At 41.6% G+C, this 21,208-nt stretch overlaps 1 long non-coding RNA gene across 1 annotated transcript; it reads right to left on the minus strand.

Annotated features, from left to right (window-relative positions):
- Positions 1–52: 52 nt before the first annotated feature.
- LOC105372776 (uncharacterized) lies at positions 53–19,208 on the minus strand. The gene is made up of 4 exons (XR_001755001.1): positions 18,882–19,208; positions 3,812–3,986; positions 3,458–3,515; positions 53–130 (listed from the first exon to the last, which is right to left on the minus strand). It is a non-coding gene; the product is annotated as an uncharacterized LOC105372776 (long non-coding RNA).
- Positions 19,209–21,208: the final 2,000 nt, after the last annotated feature.

Raw genomic sequence — 21,208 nt, forward strand, 5'->3', positions numbered from 1 at the left:
GAGAGGTAGACTATTTATCCCACACATTTAAATTTACCTTTGAATTATTTACCTTCAGATGAATATCCAAAAGAAAACTGGTTTTCTCACTCACAGTGTCTCTAGTCCCTCAACACTTAAAATCTTCACTCTGGGAAATAAATTATACAATAACTTAAGTGTGTTCTTAAGCCAAGCCAACAGACCAAACATCTTTGATGTGTGGCTAAAAGCTGGGCCATGATGAATCCGAATTTCATTTTTCTTTTCAGTCTATGGGCTTCACTCCTTGACTTTGATCCACCCTTCATAAAGCTATAGGCAAACGTATCACCGATTTTGTTCTTATACACTACACATACATTCACACACCCTCACATTCGTCTTGTACTAGAGATGGCAACCTATAAAAGATGACACAGCAGTGACTCAAGAGTTTGAGCAGCTACCTCACCCCTTTATATACGCCTTCATCCAAAATTCTCCCTGGGAAGCCTCCTTGAGGTTCAAGGCCACTAGGCAAGCAGGCATCTGTCTCCCTGGAAATGCTAGCAGATCATCACCCCAGGAGAATCCCAACTGAGAGGAGAAAGGAAAATAAATAAAATAATTGTTTTAATGAATAAACAAATATGGAATATAGTCCAGGGCCCTGGGTATCTGCATGAGCATGGGACAGAGAAACTAACAATTGTGAATCAGGAGAAGCCAGGTCACAAGAAGCAGTCATTTCCCTCTAGGCCACCACCCCAGCATCTCTAAATGTAGGAATGTGAGCAAAGTAATTCCTAAAATTCTAGGATTCTAATTAGTGTTGAGGTGATTATGTTTCTTTTCTTTTCTTTTCTTTCTTTTTTTAGACAAAGTCTTGCTCTGTAGCCCAGGCTGGAGTGCAGTGGTGTGATCTCAGCTCACTGCAACCTCTGCCTCCCAGGTTCAAGCAATTCTCCTGCCTCAGCCTCCAGAGTAGTTGGGATTACAGGCAGGCACCACTGCACCCGGCTAATTTTTCGTATTTTCAGTAGAGATGAGGTTTCACCATGTTGGCCACGCTGGTCTTGAACTCCTGACCTCAGGTAATCCACCCGCCTCGGCCTCCCAAAGTGCTAGGATTACAGGTGTGAGCCACTGTGCCCGGCCAATTATGTTCCTTTTACACTGATTTTCTTGGAGCATCAGTTCTAACTAGGATTCCTCAGGGTACAGATAAGAAACATTCCATAATGATTCTCTACAATAGGGATAGACAAACTAAGGGACCCTCATGCAAGCCAGGCTGCCACCTGTTTTTGTACCACTTTGAGCTAAGAATAATTTTTAAATGGTTGGAAAAGATCAAAAGAAAAAATAATATTTTATAACCTATGAAAATTATATGAAATTCAAAATTGAGCTTCTATAAATACAGTTTTATTGGAACCCAGCCATGCTCCTTTGTTTGTGTCTCCCTGGCTACTTTCACACTACAATGGCAGAGTAGAGTAATTGCAATTGAGTGTGCATACGGCACACAAGGCCTAGAATATTTACTCTGTGGCCCTTTAAGGAAAACTGCTCCACAATCAGGAAGAAGGTCATGGAAAAGGAGGTGACATCAGTGGGAAGAGGCAGTCTGGCTCCAATTCACTCCCTAGAACAATGGTGGATGTCTCCCAAGTAGCACTGGTATTTCTGCCTTCTACTAAAAAAGAAAAAATTTTTTTTGAGACGGAGTCTCACTCTGTTGCCCCAGGCTGGAGTGCACTGGTGCAGTCTTGGCTCACTGCAACCTCTGCCTCCCAGGTTCAAGCGATTCTCCTGCCTCAGCCTCCTGAGTAGCTGGGATTACAGGCGTATGCCACCATGCCTGGCTAATTTTTGTATTTTTAGTACAGACAAGGTTTCACCATATTGGTCAGGCTGGTCTCAAACTGCTGAACTCGTGATTCACCCGCCTCGGCCTCCCAAAGTGCTGGGATTACAGGCGTGAGCCACCACGCCTGGCCTAAAAAATTTAAAAATCCAAAACCACTGAGGCCCAGAACAGGTATCTTTTGGGATTCTAGAAGAGTAAAATGGGGTGGGAGGGGAAGTAGAAAGGGAAAAAAAAAAAAAAAAAAAAAGACCATGGGAGTCAAGTCAGTGATTTCTCACATACAAATGATCTAAAAAGTTTCTGGGCTCCTGGTAAAGCCAAATGATCTGGGCTGCATTCCAGGTCCAAGATGTCCTGATTTCCTATTTTTGTTCCCTTTCAGGTCTCAGATTTCAAAACTTTACTGTTACCCTATTTAGGGTCACTATGAAAATAGCTTAGAAGTCAGCCTTAGAATTTCAATTCAGAGATATCAGAGACTTTTGTACTAGGGACCTAAAACCTTTAAAAGATGTTTGTTTTATTGCCTCCAAATGCCTACTTTCAAAGTTTTGCCAGGAACACGTAAGCCAACAAGGAGCTTATATCTGTGGGTTGACTAAAATCCCGTAAAAGCTATTAGAGTATAAGCTTCCAATGAAACTGTAAGTTTCCCCAATTAAATCGATAATACCTTGAGTGGAAAGCATGCCAGCTCCAGCTCCCCTCAAACTGCCTAGCACCTAGTAAGATGCCATTGTAAATACTTGCTGAATAAACGTTCTATATATTCAGAGTTTGCTTGTTGTTACATATTGCAACTGTGTGTTAATTATTGACATAATTCTGGGTATTTAATACATTTTGTGTTAATTATTGACATAATTCTGCGTATTTAATACATGTTAATGTGATCATATTAACTTACATAAGCATTTGCATGCACACATCACTATGCCATACATAAGGAATTCTACATACACAAATGAAAGATAGCAGATACACTGTCTGCCCCTACAGACCAATCCAGAGATTTGTGTCACATGGACCAAGATGATATTCATTCACAAAATGAGAATCTGCTATATGAAATGAGCACTGTGAAAACATTTCCCAAATGCCAAGTAAACATAACCCCTCCTGTAAATATACACGAAGAAGAAAGCAAATTCCTACGAAAGCAACAGACACAACTTTTGACTGCTGAATCTGGGTGAACATTTGGGAGTGAGACAAACCAAACAATCCATTTCCTAAGTAATAGCAAAAGCATTCTTTGGATAACCTCCATTAGAAGTTATTGTTTTCCCTCATAAAGCTAAGAATACTTAATAGAATTTCTCTCATTACAGCATGAATTCACAAGTAATTACATCAGGAATACGTAAAAGAGGTATTAGCAGAACCAGTCAAAACAAGAATCTGGAGCAAGTTGGTACCATCAGCACTTACACAGAATGCACAATTAGCCATTAAGAGCATAAAGCATTAGAATAATAGAAACACAGTGGCTAAAGCTGTGAGTATTTCAGACACTTGACTTGGAATATATCCAGTAGCTGACACAAAGTCTCATTCTCAAGTTCAAAGAAAACTTTCTTCTATTATTAAAAAGAGGTACTAGGCAAAATAGTTTCTACTAACCTTTGTAGTCAATGTCCTGGGCCCCAGAACAGGAGTGCTGTGCAGGGTTCTTGATTCCCTGTAAAGGAAACCAACTCTGGTTACTTGAAGGCAAAATGCAATTTATCAGGAGGATATAGGGTAGATGACAGGATTCAGGCAAAGACTAGTCAACCAAGCACAGAAAAGTGGACAAAATAAAAGAAGGCCAGAACCACAGCCAAAATCCTAATAGAAGATCCTACATAGATTCTTACTGTGGCCTCATTATTACTAGCACCACTGCCAACCCTGGACAGGGAATTCTAGAATGCCCCCTGCTTCTTTGCCCCATGGCCCGAGTCAAAATCCAAGGTAGGAATACGCCAGGCTTACCTTATTCAAATGTCCATTGCCTTGCTGCAATGGGAGCAGAGCAGCTGGAAACTCAGGCCTCCTTAATGGGAACCAGGGTCCTGCTGCCACCCATCTTGAGCTTTCCCAAAATAGGGATGGTCTTCAGAGTCTCAACTAATGTCCTTTTTGGATTTGACTCCTCTTTCTCAAGGAACTGCAAAATAAACACAGCTATCACTATTACACAAAAAAGGAAATAAACTACAATACTAGATGAAGTATAAGTCTAGGGACTATATACCTACTATATATGTTCTACAGTAAGTCTTATGGAGAAATAACACTTCACTTCTGTATGCTTTTCTAGTCCTTCTAGAATTGAAACCAGTGAGGGGCAATTTAAGGTCAACATCTGCTCCTCACATGCCTTCCACAGCAATATGATGTGAGCACTGCAGTTCCATTGAGCTGTGGCAATTGGGGTAGTTTAGGAAGACAGTGGAGAACAGCAAGACAGTTAGATCCCAGTGAAAGGAGGAAGTGCCCATGTTTATCCCAACAATGAAGTGCATGTTGAGAAGTGTTGGGAACCTTCAGCTTCAACTCCACAGCAACAGAGAAGAGACTTAGGACTGAAGGATCCCTAACCAACAATGAGATAGCTGCAGACATGCATAGCAGCAGTATTTTCTGTTCAGCTTGTAAACACCCAAATGTGGAAAGCTAATCAATAGCACAGCTATGTGATGTCAACACACTGACTTTTGCCTTGGGCTGGAAGTCCCTGGTTCAGTCAACCCACTCCCATGAGAGACACTCACAGCCCCAGAGTTTATCAAAATCTAAAGCCATCCAGTTCTTAATTACTTCTCTTTCATAATTAAAAAGAAACTCAGACTACATTTCTAAATTTCTTTGGACAAAGAATGTTTTGTTAACTCAAGTGCTCAGTTGGGTTATAAATCCTCAAAGCTAATGCCAATAGATCTACAACAAGAAGAGTGATTTTTGTCTGCAATTTTTTTAATGGCCCCCATTTTAGAAAAGACAAACATTTATCTACTCAATGCACAATGCAGTGTGGTAAGTACCTCCGCTGTCTTATGAAAGAACACTCAAACTATTTGTACGTTTTGGGTAGATTTATTTCCTAGTGATTGCAACTGGATACATTTTTCAGGTCAAAGGGAAGGACACAGTCCTTGCTGCAGAGAAAAGCCATAAGTACCCAATCCTCACAGCAGGAGTTGGTGACCTGATACTGAAGGGCTGAATCCAGCCCAGGATCAGGGCAAGTTCTGCCTGCTTTGCCCCAGTCTCCTGTCCTCGGGTTGCAGACACATAAGAGGCTGGTATGCTGGACCGAAGGACTGAAGCAGAATGAGACCACATGCATTCAACCCAGCAGGGGGAGCGGGGCTGGGCATCCCACCCCAGAAGCCAAGCCTACCAGGCAACCTTTCTAAGGCTTGGCAAAGGCATGCTATAATTAGACATTAACATCTAATAAATAATAAGTGAATGCCACTGTAAAGCACTTTGCAAATGGAGAGGACACTATAAGTATGTCCCTGTCATCAATAATCATGGTGTTCTAGGTAATCACAGCATTCAGGAAGCAGTTTAGACACAGGCAGCCTCAGCAGGGATACCACTAATGTCCAAAGGCCTAAGCATACAATTTTTCAAATACCTGCCCTGGCTGGAAGGCTGCCCAGTAAAGATGACAAGCCCACAGAGCTCAGGAGGTCATTCCTGAGAGCTCCACAGAAGATGTAAACACTGCCAGGGAAAATCATTCCGTTTCCTTAAAGAATATTTGGAGCAGCAAGCTCACTTGTAGATTTACTAAAGTGGAAATCTACGCTAGAAGCAGCAGAGCCCCTAGAAGCAGCAGAAACTGAGAAAATATTTAAATAATACAAAAAAGTCAGCCACCCTCACTAGCCACCTTCATAATCCCAATTAACATCAATAAGATTTCAAGGAGAATGTCAGATGTTAGATGCTGTCCATTGAACAATTTTAAGAGGAATTCTAATTCTTTTATAGTCTAGTTTTATGTGTGTGTGGATTATTTACCTGGGAGTAATTGTAGCTTTTTGCAGAGACTTGGATTTTTATTTTATATTTTATTACTTTCTAGTTGTACAAAAATTTTCATTGCAGCATTTGTCCAAAATCTGCAGCCCTCACTCATTTCTCCATTTTTGGATGTCTACACTGCTGAAAGTGGGCACTACACAGATTGTATATCGTCTAATCATATTCTCCTTTTTGAGACAGAGTCTTGCTCTGTTGCCCAGGCTGGAGTGCAATGGCGTGATCTCGGCTCACTGCAACCTCCTCTGCCTCCCAGGTTCAAGGGATTCTCCTGCCTCAGCCTCCTAAATAGCTGGGATTACAGGCACCTGCCACCATGCCCAGCTAATTTTTGTATTTTCAGTAGAGACAGGGTTTCACCATGTTGGCCAGGCTGGTCTCGAACTTCTGACCTCAGGTGATCCACCCACCTGAGATTACAGGCGAGAGCCACCGCGCCCGGCCAATATTCTCCATTTTTGATGTGTACTTAAATCTGTCTCTTCATCTCCACGCTAAAACCCTAGAGACCATGGACAGTGTTTTAGGGTATATCTTTGGATTTCCTCTGGGACTAACATGATAATGCGATTTAGTAAATTTTTTGCACAAATTGCTCTACTATAAGATCCTCTAACTGGACATTTCCAATCTTAATATTCTGAAAACTTCATGCAATTTTTTTGGAAATAATTTAGGCAGAAGTGAAGTTCACCTTTGCTTGCAAGTTCCTACTTCATAGGCCGGTTGATCATTTAAACAAAATCATTTAAACAACATCTCAGGGAAGAACACTTAGTACTTAAGGACAAAGCAGGTATGCTCAAGACCTTCCGAGATCCCCATTTACTTTAGAGTTGACAAGCTCACCCACAGCTCATTTAAAGGAAAGGAAAAACGGTGAGCAGTTTTCCTAACAAGGTATTTCTAACACTTTCAGGCCTCCTCTTTTGAGAGCTTTTTTAAAAAAATATACTATTGAATTTTCCATTTATCTACAAAACCATTAAACAGTCAGTGCCCCCAAGCAAACAACAGAGACATTTAAAAGAAAAACCCAAGAAATCACTCCTCATCCCACTCCACCCTTCCAAGATAACCAATATCAGCATTTTGAAGTATGTTTTCATGTTTTTCTTGTGGAAACATACCAAAACATGTATATTTACATACAGCTTTTGGTTGGTCGGTTGGTTGTTTTGGGGGGTTTTGCTTGTTTGTTTGGGTTTTTTCTTTTTGGCAAAACTGAGATCATATTATACATATTATATTGCAACTTGCTTGTTTTTTACTCACCAATGCATAAAGAACACTTTTCCAGGTCACCTTATCAATCATTCTCCTTCTTTTCAATACTTACATTATATTCCTTTGTGCATGTATACTATTTTTTTCAACTTTTCCTATCATTGAACAATCGGGAGTTTTCCACTGTACAACTCACTTCATTTGTCTACCTTAGTTTGTACTCTAAGCTTTTCTCTAACTCTAAAATTTTGAATTCACCTAAAATAAAATTCAGTTCTTTGGAGAAATAAAAGCTATTTTCTTGGTCAAATTAGTAAATATTTATTAAATCAAATTTCTTAAAACTAATTTGGATCTGACCTTTAGAACATTCTGATATTCTTCAGGACATCAGCACGTTCTAGAATAGTACTTTTATAACAGAGAATGTTCACACCTCCATAATTCATTTAAAATAAGTAAAATATGCTGCTGAAAATTCTGGCACAATTTGTATTACTGTAACACAGATTCAGTTGTGTATGTGTGTGTGTGTGTGTGTGTGTGTATATATATATAAAATGTGTGTGTGTATATATATGTGTATATATATGTGTGTGTGTATATATATGTGTGTATATATATATATACACACACACACACACACACACAAACATTTTCTACATGGTGTTCTGGGGAACACTGTCTAGGGAAACGCTAATAGTGATCAAGTAAGTTTAGGCCAATCAGTTTTAAATTAAATATATGATTTTTAAATTCTGATTTTCTTGCGAAGGTGATCACTTCTAATCTCTTTCCCTAGCTTTCCTCTTAAGCAACAGAGATATATCTGTACATCTTTATTGAACATCTGTATATCTTTACATCCCTACTGTATATCTATACATCCGTATGTCTCTACTGTACATCCATACATCTATACATCTCTATTGTACGTCTATACATCTGTCTCTACTGTACATCTATACATCTGCATGTCTCTACTATATGTCTGTACAGCTATACATGCTACATCTATATATCTGTACATCTCTACTGTATGTCTATACATCTATACATCTATACTGTACATCTACACATCTGCCCATTGTTACTGTACATCTGTACATCTCTACTTGTCTGTACATCTATACATCTATACATCTGTACATCTCTACTGAACATCTGTACATCTGTATAGCTCTATTGAACATCTATACATCTGCCCATCTTTACTGTACATCTGTACATCTCTGCTGTGTGTCTGTACATCTATACATCTCTACTATACATCTATACATCTGTACATCCCTACTGAACATCTGTATATCTGTATATCTCTACTGTATGTCTATACATCTGTATATGTCTATGGCACATCTATACATCCGTATGTCTCCATTGTATGTCTGTACATCTGTACATCTCTACTATAAATCTATATATCTGTACATGTCTACTGTACATCTGTACACCTGCACATCTCTACTGTATATCTATACATCTGCACATCTCTATCGTTAAGTCTGTACAACTGCATGTCTCTACTGTACATCTGTACATCTACACATCTCTACCATATGTATGTACTTCTATACATCTTTACTGTACATCTATACACCTGCACATCTATATATCTGTATGTCTCAACTGTACTGACCAGATACAGAGGACCTCATACTGCAAGGTCCCTAGTACCAGGCACACAGAGCCACCAGGCAAATATATGTAGCCCTCTAGCATCCCTGCCCACCCCTTCTCAGCACACCTCTTTATTCTGCATACATTGTCCCTTGCTGAAACATTAAGCAATCAGTCCAGATGGAAGTAAAAAATCATCCTCCTCATTTTTTCTATGCCCTCAATCTTTTTTATTCTTAAGGCTAAAATAAAGTGACATTTGGTTTCACTTTTTAAAAGTTTGTCACTCATAAGAAACCACCTGAAAGTATGTAGGAAAGTGGCTTAGTTTTAACCCAGCAATCAGAATGCCACTTAACCACAGGCATATGGATATTCAATTCTCACCTCCAGCAAAAGAGAAAAATGAGGCTTGGCCTTAACGCGTCCACATCAGGGAAACTGGAAGCTCGTCTTGGGAATTCAAACAGCCTGAGGCCTTTTCACAAAGCCCAATCAAGCCCTCCCACCCCCACTCACAATTCGACTCTTACTTTCACAGTGCATCAAAATAGACAGGAATTACTTTTTCAAACTGGGTAAAATCCAGAAGATTTGTCTTGGGTATCTACTCCTTGGGAAAAACCGTGCTAGAGACTGAGAATCAAAAGAAACTCTTTCTAATAAACTTAAAGCTTTAATTGAAGCAATAAATCAAATGCACAGAGATGAGCAGCGCAGGATGCTAGGGGGTAAGAGCCTAACGGCTTACCACTGTTCTCCCAAACGAGAGTGCTTGCACCTGGCTGAACAAGACTTCTGGGGCAGGGCTGAGAACCACAGATAAGAACCACCTGGGATTGATAAAGGGCCTGCCCAGCACACGCCTACCTCATCAGACTATGAGGATGAGTGCCCTGGAATCTAAGCTTTGAATCAGCTCTCCAGGGGATTCCAATAGACACTAAAATCTTAAAGTCATAGGACTACATTTTTTCTTGAAATGTGGTTACCAGACCAGCAACACCTGAATCTTATCAGTAATGAGAATGCGTCCCTACGCTACAGACCTACTGCATCAAAAATTCTGGCAATGGACTCAGTGATCGCTGTTTAACGAGCCCTCCAGGTGGTTTTGATGAAATGCTGAAAGTTTGAGAACCGTGGCTATCGTATGTCTCTGCAGACCTCAGTTTGAAAAATATTGCAGTAGCCAATAAGAACACAGGAGTTTAATGAGGGAGGCCATTGCCTGAAGCAGGAACAGCCTGTAGACCCTTAAAAGAGAAGAGCTCATCTAGAGGATGTGGCATTGAAATAATGGATTACACAGTGGAAAAGAAGAAGGAAAATGAAAGAAAATGACAATTGGCAGATCTACGCATCAATAATCACTTCAGTGAGCAGAGAAGTTTCATGCCATTTTTGAATTATAGGATTTACAGTTAGGCATGCTAAGCTTGATCTGGGAGAACGTAAGAGTTACAGGAAAGTGTGGACTTTCTTATTCAGGCATTGAGGAAACCTTAAAGGATAATGAGTTAGGGAATATCAAGACACAAGATTATGTTTAGGAGATGTGATTATGCATTAATGCACTTAGAGAAATGTAAAGGAGGGTTGAAAAGTAGGAAATTAGATTAAAAGTCTTGCAGTATTTCAGAAATAAGGTTATGCGGGTCTGCATTAGGGTGCTGGCTGTAAGAGGCAAAGTTAAATAGATACAGAGGTGAAAGGAAGAAAAATGGGCTGTACTTGGAGTTTGGATGGGGTAGGGGAGAGTGAAGGAGGAACCGAAAAAGGAAGGGAGATGAGAAGGAGGAAAGTGGATAAAAATGACAGCCCAGCTTCAAGGCTGATCAATAAGGAGCATTTATGAACACAGGAAATCCTGAAGGGGTATGAGCTTGGGGCAGGGAGTGGGGAACGGGGGTGGGGGAGATTTGGAGCCTCATCATTTCTCACAATTATCTCTACTCTTTTTATCACGTTCAGTTCTCAAATCATTCTACTGCAAAGGCGATGAAGATAATAATTCTACAAGCTCTGTGGCAACTGGATACCAAGGCCCTTCTGGCTTACAAAGAGAGAAAGTCTAAATTTACCCAAGAAATGTTGTTTATCCGTATTACATCTGGAGAGCAACTTCAATCTTAATCCTCAAAATCTTCCAGGAAATTCCCCAGGGAACCTAGAATGCTGGCTCTCATTTACAGTAGCTAAAGACACCTTGGTTAACTTGGATGTACATTTAACCTAAAGTATCTGTAATTTCAAATTTGCCAACAAAAAACATTAACTCTGCCTTTGCATGAAAACATATCAGTTAAGGAGGCCCAATTTGAAGCAGTCTGAATGCACATTTTTGCTTCTGCCTCCTCATTAATGGTATGCAAGTGTGTTGCTAAAACATGTAAACATTTCAGGGCGTAGAAAAACCTCCTTGATGCCAGCATTCCTGCTTAATTCTTCCCTCTCCTGGCAAACCTTCTGGAATGTAGTAGTTAAACTCCCAGGTGTGCTGATGGGTAACAGAATGATTAAAGAATAATAAAACACTAAAGGTCACTTTCTGGTTCAGGATTTGGAGATGACCTAGCTCCATGCAAACTGAGTCAGAGGCTCTGGACTTGACTCAGAGGTGGTGCTTGCATAGGGCGGATTAAAATGCTCTACAAAGCAGAAGCCAGAAACACACACCAGGATGGGAGACAGGGATGCCTGTTAACAACCACTGCTGCCAACTGAAAGGGCTCCCAATGACCAAAGCTGGAAGAAGTTAAGCAATAAAATAAATAACATTATATGAGATTATAATGCAAAATATAAAATAAGCATTCATAAACTCATACTCATTATATTACTTTCCTAAGGCTGCCATAACAAATTAACACACAGTCTGTGACTTAGACAATAGAAATTTGTTTTCTCACAATTCTCAAGGATAAAAATCTGAAATTAAGCTGTTGGCTGGGCTACACTCCCTCTGAGACTCTAGGAGGAGAATCCATTCTTTGTCTCCTCCAGCTTCTGGTGGCTCCAGATGTCCCTGGTCTTGTGTCTGCATAACTCCAACCTCTGCCTCCATCTCCACACGGCCTTCTCCTGGGTGAACCTCCTCTTCTGTGTCTTATAAGGATGCTTGGCATTGGATTTAGGACCCACCTAGATAATCCAGTATAATCTTGTTTTGAAATTCTTAACTTAGTCACAACTGCGATGACTTCTTTGCAAATAAGGTCACATTCACAAGTTGCAGGGATTAGGTAGTGGGCATATCTTTTTGGGAGCCACCGTTCAAACCACTATGCTGATATAAATGAATGATTGATTGAATAAATGGCTGAGTAAACAGGCAAATAAATAGAGAGGATAGACAACTCTCCCACGCAAAAGAATTTTAAATAATTTATGGAGCTACTCCCCACTCAAGAATGTGGAACAAAATTCTCTACTCCTTAAACATGGGCTGTACATAGTGACTTCCTTCCAAAGAGTACAGTGTGAGAGGGGGTGGGGAGAGAGTAACTCTACAGTGGAGAAAGCTAACGAACACTACCCAGGCCAGGTGATCAATGTTATGTCAACAGCAAAGAGTCATGTTAATAGCATGATGTGAAGAGAATGGCATTTGTTTCTGTTGTCTTCCTTCAAAAAAAAAAAAAACAACAACATAACCCCCTCCCAACGCTGAAAAAAGCATCAGAAAAAAGCTTCATTGAAAAAAAAAATCTGCAAAATACATGACTAGTACTCCTCAAAGCTTCTCAAGGCCACCAAAACCAAAGTCTGAAAAAATGTCACAGTCTAAATGAGCCTAATGAGATGGGACAACAAAGCGAAATGCAGGATCCTGGACAAGAAAAAAGGAGGTTCAGTAAAAATTTAGGAAGTGAAAGAAGGGTGGACTTTAGTTAATATCAATGTATCGATGTTGGTTTATTAGCTGTGACAGGTGAACCACAGTAATGTGAGATAAGGATAGCCAGGCCTTGGGTCTATGAGAACACCCTGAACTACCTATCTTTGCAGCTTTTCTTTAAATCTAAAACTGAGCCAGGCACGGTGGCTCCACCTGTAAACCCAACACTTAGGGAGGCCGAGGCAGGTGAATCACCTGAGGTCAGGAGTTCGAGACCAGCCTGGCCAACATGGCAAAATCCCATCTCTACTGGAAATACAAAAAATTAGCCGGGCGTGGTGGCATGTACCTGTAATTCCAGCTACTCGGAAGGCTGAGACAGGAGAATCGCTTGAACCCGGGAAGCGGAGGTTGCAGTGAGCAGAGATCCCACCTTTGCACCCCAGACTGGGCAACAAGAGTAAGACACCATCTCAAAAAAAAAAAAAAAAAACTAAAACTATTCTAAAATAAAAATGTATTTTTAAGATCTGAATATTGCTGCATTCCTTTGATAAAGGGATGGGGGCCTAATCCAGGGGTTCTCAGCCTCAGCACTACTGACTTTTGTTGGAGGAAGTTTTTTGTACATTGTAGGATGTTAAGCAGCATCCCTGGCCTTCATTCACTAGATGCTAGAAGCACACCTCCCTTCCCAGTTTGTGTACACCCAGATACAGCTCCTGACATTGGCAAGGAGTGAGGCAAAATCATTCCTGGTCCAGGACCACTGACCCTGTCCAAGGCAGAGAGGCCAGATGTCATGAGAAAAACAAACTTATCCAAATCCAAGTGCTGGCTATGCCACTTACCTGCTGTGTGACCTCAGGCAACTGACTTCTCTAAGCTCTGATTTTTCATCCTTTTTTATTTTATCGTATTTTATTTTATTTTATTTTATTTTAGACAGAGTCTCGCTCTATCACCCAGGCTGGAGTGCAGTGGCGTGATCTTGGCTCACTGCAACCTCCACCTCCTGGGTTCAAGCAATCCTCCTGCCTCAGCCTCCCGAGTAGCTGAGACTACAGGCCGGTGCCACCACACGCAGCCAATTTTTGAATTTTTCACAGAGATGGGGTTTTGCCGTCTTGGCCAGGCTGGTCTCAAACTCCTGACCTCAGGCAATCTGCCCACCTCAGCCTCCCAAAGTCCTGGGATTACAAGCATGAGCCACCACACCAGGCCCAATTTCTCATCTTTAAATGAGAATAATGAATCTCTACTTCCTAGGTAATTGTGAGGATAAAAACATGTGAAGATTTTAGCACAAGTGCCTGAATATAGTAAATTAAATATAAGATACAAGTTGTGGTTATTTTGATAACAATTCATAATCCTTCGCTCTGAGAAGGATTAGTAATGTCTTCTGAGCAGACATGAGGAGGCTTTAATTAACACCCAGGCCCTCAAATCCTTTAACAGTAGATGTAGCTCAGGAAGGCCATGCAACGCCTGTTGATGGCTTGTCCCAAATGTCATCGTGACCCAAGCTAAGTGATGAGCTTATTGAACATCTGACATTGATGAGCTTCTTTTGAAATAGGTTTCATTTTTCTCCAAGCACTTCCTTCCAACGTACCTGGTCTGAGTCCTGTTCCCAGTTCTTGACGGCAAAGGAGCTTATTGGTCAGTTGCAGTGGTAAGAAGGGCCTTCTTATAAATTGATTTCTGCAGACATGACTCACTAATGTAACTTAAACTTCAGCCTCAGGTCCATGTCACAACACAAGCCTGGCCCTGGAGTGGGGATGTGTAATGGGGGCCATACTCTCTCTTCTCCCTCCCTGTCCTGACACCTGTTCCTCCAGAGCCAGGCAGGTGGGAACCAGATCAGAGAAGAAGAGGCACACGTCCCTCCTCCCGGGTGCTAGTGAGTTACCCACTGGGAGATGTCCACATACTGGCTCTTTCTTGGGGTGCATGGAAGAGTTTTCAAAAGCCTGCAGGGAACTTTACCCTGGTAGGTCCCCTATAGGGGCGATCTGCTCTGCTGTCTCCAGTTCCTGCCCTAACAGTGCATCCACACAACTGTTACTGCTGTAATTCCCTGACCACCGCAGGATATCCTCTTGGCCATTGTATCCTCAAGGCACTTTTGCCAGGTTATCGCCCATTATTTCATTTGGTCCATAGGAATGCATACATTTGTACCAGACAAAAGGTGTGAGTGTCACCCTCCCAGCTGCCTTCTCTCAACTTCCTGACATCACAAACTGCTCTTATCAGCCTTCCCTCTCCACAGTTATGAAAGCAAGCAAGAGGTACAAGCTCATAAACTCACGTGCATGCACAGACTCCGGGAAATGTGTCACATTCTCCCAAGAAGGTTCTCACCACCCCCTACCACACGGAGACGGATCTTTGGATTTCTTCAGCTAAGCAGGCCTCCAGTCACTAAATCAGTCTCCGCTCTTGTTGGCATGCTCCTATCTCCAAAAGGCGACCTGGAGCCCTGGCCCTCAGGCAGCATAAGGAGGGAACAGAGCCTCACTGCCTAAGACCTCTTGCTAGATCAGTAACCACTCTTTCCATGAATCCCCCTTTCTACCAATGCTCTTCTTGAATGAAATGTCATGAAATCTAGTCTTCTCTTTACATAGAGTGTGGGGGTAGCACAACAATCCACTCTTCTTTAGTGAGGCATTTGGAAGAGGAATTTGCCACCTCCTAGCATTCCCTTTAAGATATGGAAACACCTACTGCTTATTATCCTCAGCTTTGGGACTTTAGCTGAAAGCCCTGACAATAGGAAATGTCTCCTTCGGCATCCCGTTAATCTGTGTGCAGCTGCATTATAAATAGTATTACTGGCAGGGTACCATGGCTCACGCCTGTAATCCCAACTCTTTGGGAGATCACCTGAGGCCAGGAGTTCAAGACTAGCCTGGGCAACATGGAGAAACCTTGTCTCTACTAAAAATAAAAAAAAAAAATAGCTGGGCGTGGTGGCACATCCCTTTAACCCCAGCTACTCAGATAGCTACTCACTTGCTGAGGCACGTGAATCGCTTGAACCTGGGAGGTAGAAGTTGCAGGGAGCCGAGATTGTGCCACTGCTCTCCACCCTGGGCGACAGAGACTCTGTCTCAAAAAATAAAGTATTATTTAAATTCTTGGCAATCTGAGATGTTGACCAGGTAGAGGGTTTATCCCACCAGATACAATAAAAGATAGATCCTATTGCATCTAATAGTAACTCAGCTGGCCAGGGTCTGTGCTAAGGCATGCAAAATAAACACTGGGAAGGCAAGGGTAGTGACAGCAGGAAGAAAAGGAATAAATAAACCTATCACACGCCAGCATCATGAAGATGTTACCGAGAGCCCATGGCTATTGGGATCCTGAAGTAACACGAGGAAACAAAGATCAGTTTCACACACAGAAATAGGGAAGACATGTTGATGTCATGAAGATCCTCAAAGGGACCTCAGGGATGACCATCCTTACCGTAGCTCTAAAGTGACAACCTGAGCCAGGCTTACATCACAAAGAGGAGAATAAGAGAAACCCTCATCCCATGGTGACATCCCAAGACTGTCTCCTGATCTAGCCCCCTCCCATCACCACGCCAACCAGGAGGCGTCAGCCTGGCACTAACGCGGAGATGTCTGTGCTCAGGGTCTGCCTGTTTTCTCTTGGGAGCTGTGGGGATCTTGTGTTGCTCACTGCTACTTCTTGGACTTTCAGCCTTCTCCATGCGCAGCATCAATAGCTGAGAAAACATTCCGAATCACACTGACCCTATTTATTAAGCAAAGGAAGAATATTCTAAGATATAAGGAACAGCTGATTACTGCTATAATGTTGTTTAATAGATAAGAACTAAAGGATGTTGGAAGGTTGTGACATTGGTCAACCAGAAGGAAATTTAGAAGGAAATGTTAACCAGGGTAGCCTTGATGCCAGCCCCCCATTTCTTAGAAGTTGAGAGCTAAAGGGTATCAGAACAGCTCCTGAGCGTCCCAACAAGGATTCCTAGATTTACTCAATTTGAAGATACCATCAATTGTGAGACACAACAAAAAATGGGAGGAAATAACAATTCACCAAAATTTTAAACATTCGATCAATAGTAAGGTGCTTCTCAATTTCATAAATATTAAAATGTGATGGGAAAAACTAATCAGAAAAAGAGAATAATTAAATGACTCCTAGGACTAGAAGAAAACCTCGAAAGGTCTTTCAGCTGACCCCATGCCTTGAGGCGGGCCCCTACACTTCCGCCCAAATCAGAGAAAGTCTGACTAATGTTAAAGATTAGGTTCTTTTCATTTTCCATGCCATTCCCTCAGTGAGAGTGAATTATAATTTGCCACGAATATAAAGAAGAGAGAAAAAAGTACATACAATTTGCATACTAAAAATTGGAATACTAATGAAGACAAATCACTCCCCTCTGGGAGATGATCTGCTACTAAAATCCTTTTCCTCTGCTTTTAACTTGGCTTAGTGAAAAATAAATAATTTTTTTAAACTGCAGGGGGTGGGCAATGAGCTTCATTTAGAAAGTATTTCAAAGGTACCCTGGCTTTGTGCATTTTAAACATGAATTTCAGTAGATGCATTTATCTTTTTAACTATATTGTGCACGCATGCTAAGTTATATATGGCTCTTACAAGAATACGAAATTAGAATCTGCCCCACTGCAGAGAAAAGTGAAACACTCTTCATTATACCAGGCAGTGTAGGGTAACCTCCGGCTTTGAGTCAGCTGAACCTAAGTTTGAAATTCAACTTTATAACTCACTTCGGCATCCCACCTCTATCTCTTGAACTTCTGTTTCTTGATTTATAAAATGGTGCAAATAATTCCCACACGTTACATTCAGGAATCGGTGAGATAACAGGTGTATATAACACTTTACACAGTGCCAGGGATTCGGTAAGGTTTTGGTCTATCATCTCGGCCCCTTTAAAAACAACCATTATAATAGAGTTTTTCAAAGTAAATGCTAATTTTAAAGTGAATCACATTGTTCCTAATTATGCTGGTTTAGATTGCAACTTTCATGGGAAATGAGGAGGCAGCATTTTGTTTTTACTTAATAAACAAATGGTGCCTAGTTTATGCCACGCTCCATATGAGGTGTGAGAATGGACAGAGAGAAGACTGTGACACAGTTCTGGTTCCCCAAGGTTCCACCATCTAGTAGCCCACTGAGGAGCAGGGCGAAGCCTCGCCAGACACAGTGAGCCAGGCTCTAATAGAGGCATGGTACCAGGGGCAGGGCCCTCAAAGAGGCGTCTGACAACCTGGAACACTGAAAAGGGCTCCATAGAGGTACAGGAACTGGAGTACAGCAAGATGTGGATGAAGCAGGGTGGGGTCTGCAGTGAGAACTGGATGCCCTGTTGCTCAGAAGGAAGGGAATCGGCTCTCATCACGGCTGTCAGCCAAGGGGCCCGGGGAAGAGAACACGCCTTCTATCTGCATAGCTGCCGGAGCATCCAAAGGTCCAGAAAGGTCTGGGCTCCTTCAACTTTATTCCTCAGGGACTCTGCAAAGCCTCAGATCAACTTTCTGACCGGCCCTGCTTGGCTTCCTCTTCTCCTGTCTCAGGATTCCACGGCCTGCAGCCCCAGTGCTTTTACTGCGTTTCACGGCCCTCTTGTATATTAGATTCTAATTCCCGATGCTTCTTCTCAAGACCCCTTTTCCTAGAAAATCCATAGAAACTTTCATGGTTGCTAAAGCTTAGAAAAATGTCTTGCCCCAGGCTGGCTTCAAAGGATCACACGAAACCAGCAGCTCACCTCTCTGGTATTGATGCAGTTTCTCCAGAGCTGCAATGACCCCTAATGCCATCACAAATGACAGTCTTGGATCAAATTTAGGGTCCAATGTAGAAAGAATGTGGGCATTGAGAGGAAAAGGGTCTGGAATGTGCAGCCACTAAATCATCATGGAGCAGAGAAAACACCTGAATGTACTGAGACTAAGCCATTGGCTTCTGAAAGAAAGACAGGAGCTCTAGAATTTACCACCTCAAAGAGAACATTAGAAAGAGCCTTCAAAAGGAATGAGAAGCCCCAACCTCCCTCTGAGCATCCTTGTTCTTGCTCCGACATTCCTCTGCCTGCTTTGATTTTTCTTTCAAGCCACAGATTCGTACCTGGCACAACAATGCGCAAACTCCATAGCCTGGCATTTTTCCACCTAATATTCACCCCTGGTGGAGACTGATTTATGTATAAATTGTCTTGGCATAACAGGTGACACTTTGTAACTTGGCTGTCCTTCACTGTCAACAGGGGCTCCTGAAACATGCCTTCCTCACCTGCCTGGTGACTCTGCACCTGTGATTCTCAGTGGCTGCTCGCTCACCCCTTGACTTGCTGGCAGAGGCGGAGGCTGCTGATGGCTGGTATTCATCTCCCCACAGTGGCACCTCATGGTCCTCAACTCCAAGATGCAGAGGGAGCAAGGGAAGACGCAAGCCCCTCTGTCATCTCATCTGATGGAAATAGTCACGTGGTGTTGGATCAGGCAGGGCCCTCACTGGGGGACTTCTGTTCCAGAACCATCCCCAAGCTGTTACCACCTTTCGATCTCCTTTGGCAACTGGTCTATGATCAAATGACTTTGGGATAAACTCTTGCCCAAAGTTGGGTCCATGGCTCTGACTGGATGCTCCTGAATGAGATAATGGAGAAAGGGAGGAGGAATGTTCACGTCTACGACCTCCCGGGAAAATAATTTGAGGCTAATTAAAAATAATTTAACTTAAATACAGTTGGGGTTTCCAGGGCAAAACACATCTCTTTGGATGGCAAGGATTAGAAAAATTACATTCAAAAAACCAATGCTCTGAAGCCCCGGTTTGCAAGAATTTGGCTTTTCTCTGCATTTTTGCAAGAAACATAAATTGTCTGCAATACATTCCAAAGATCCTCACCCAACAGCACAAGCCAAAGTGCTTACATAGCACAACCTTGATGGTTCTCAGCCCACCCTCGGTAATGGATAATTCTCATGACGTGAATAATTTGTTATCTCAAGTGTGAATAAGGTTAGACATTTCTCCTCACGAACGGTCTAAAAATAATACCATGAGAGCCTCTTATATATTGAGTCAGTTGCTCTTTGGCAAGAAAAGAAGTGTATGTAAGGTGAAAAGTGTATCCCTCTAATCTTTCTATTCTAACCAAATTATTTTATTTCATGATCTATATCCTACTAATTGCAGGTGTCAGAAATAATAGGTGCTAGCACTTACATGGTACTTACCACGTGCCAGTTACCAGTTGAAGTGCTTTCCTGAACACATCTAATCCCCCAAACTACTTTAGGATAGGTATTATGATTATCAAGTGCCTTTTAAAGATTATGAAACAAAGGCACAGAGAGGTTAAGTAGCTTGCCCAAGATCACACAGCTTGTCCTGTAAGAAGCCAAGCCTGTATTCATACCTGATGTTCTATGTGTAATGTCTGTGCACTTACCCATTATTACACTCTTATGTCTCTCTAAAAATGTCACATAGGTGAAAATGTCACAAGAGTGAAAAAAGTTAAACATGTTCAATATGTAACAAAAATATTTTAGGGGTTTTTTTTTTTTGTCTAAATTGGGGGATGTTCAGGGTCTCCAAGCAATTTGTGAAAATTATTTTATTACTAGTGCAAAAACAAACAAAAAAACCCAGAGATCATCTAATCCAACTCTTCCCATTTTTTATCAAGGAGACTGAGGCTCAGAGTAATAAAAAGATTTCCCTGAGAACTAAGATTTGGGTGTTTTTCTCCTAGTAATCATGAATAATACTACCAGACAATGGGCGCTTGGATCTTGGTCCAGATACTATTAATTAACCTTGGGTTAATCCTAAGCAGTTTTCTTAGTTCTGAAATGAGAAGCTTAAAATAAATGTTTTCTAAGGTTTCCTTAAGCTGCACTTTCAATGATTCTAAATTGACTGACTGGTGCAGGGTCAAATAGCTTCGTGGACAACGAAAAAAATAGGAAAAGGGTGGGAAAGGCAAGTAGAACTACTAAGAGGGGTCTGGAGGAATGGGGCTGCATCATCACTGGAGTGGGAACAGAATTCTCTGTGTTTCTTTTGTCTCCTCTGGGGACTGGTCTCAGAGCATGAAAGGGATAAATCAGAACATCAGCCCTTCACCTGATCTGTGTGTGAGTTAAAGCAAGACCTAGAGAGGACAGGGAACAGCAGAGTGTAGCTCAGTAATGACTTCCAAATTATGCAAAGGGAGATTTGGAATCAAGCTGAACCCATAATACTAAATTACAGTGCACCTTCAAGTACAGAGGAATTGAATTTCACTGGGGAATCTGAGGATTGGAGGCCTATAAACCCACAGAAGGGAGTTGTGCCAAAAAATATAACCAAGCAGCAAGTAGGATGACTAAAGAAATTGTGATGACCTTTTGTCTGCTCTTTTGTGACTATGAAAAATAAATGCATGCCCCCTTCCAAAAAAAAGAAAAAGAAAAAACTGCAGCAAAATCTGTTACACCAATGCCTATTGGAGAATATAAAGATTGGGAGGTCAAATTCCACATGTTTTAGCAGTGAGCAGATAGCATAACAGTAGGAAAGAAGATTGGATTAAAATCTGTAGGCTTACTAAAAGCAGAAGCCCC

This window comes from Homo sapiens, chromosome 21 (assembly GCF_000001405.40).
Source record: "Homo sapiens chromosome 21, GRCh38.p14 Primary Assembly".
NCBI lineage: Eukaryota > Metazoa > Chordata > Mammalia > Primates > Hominidae > Homo > Homo sapiens.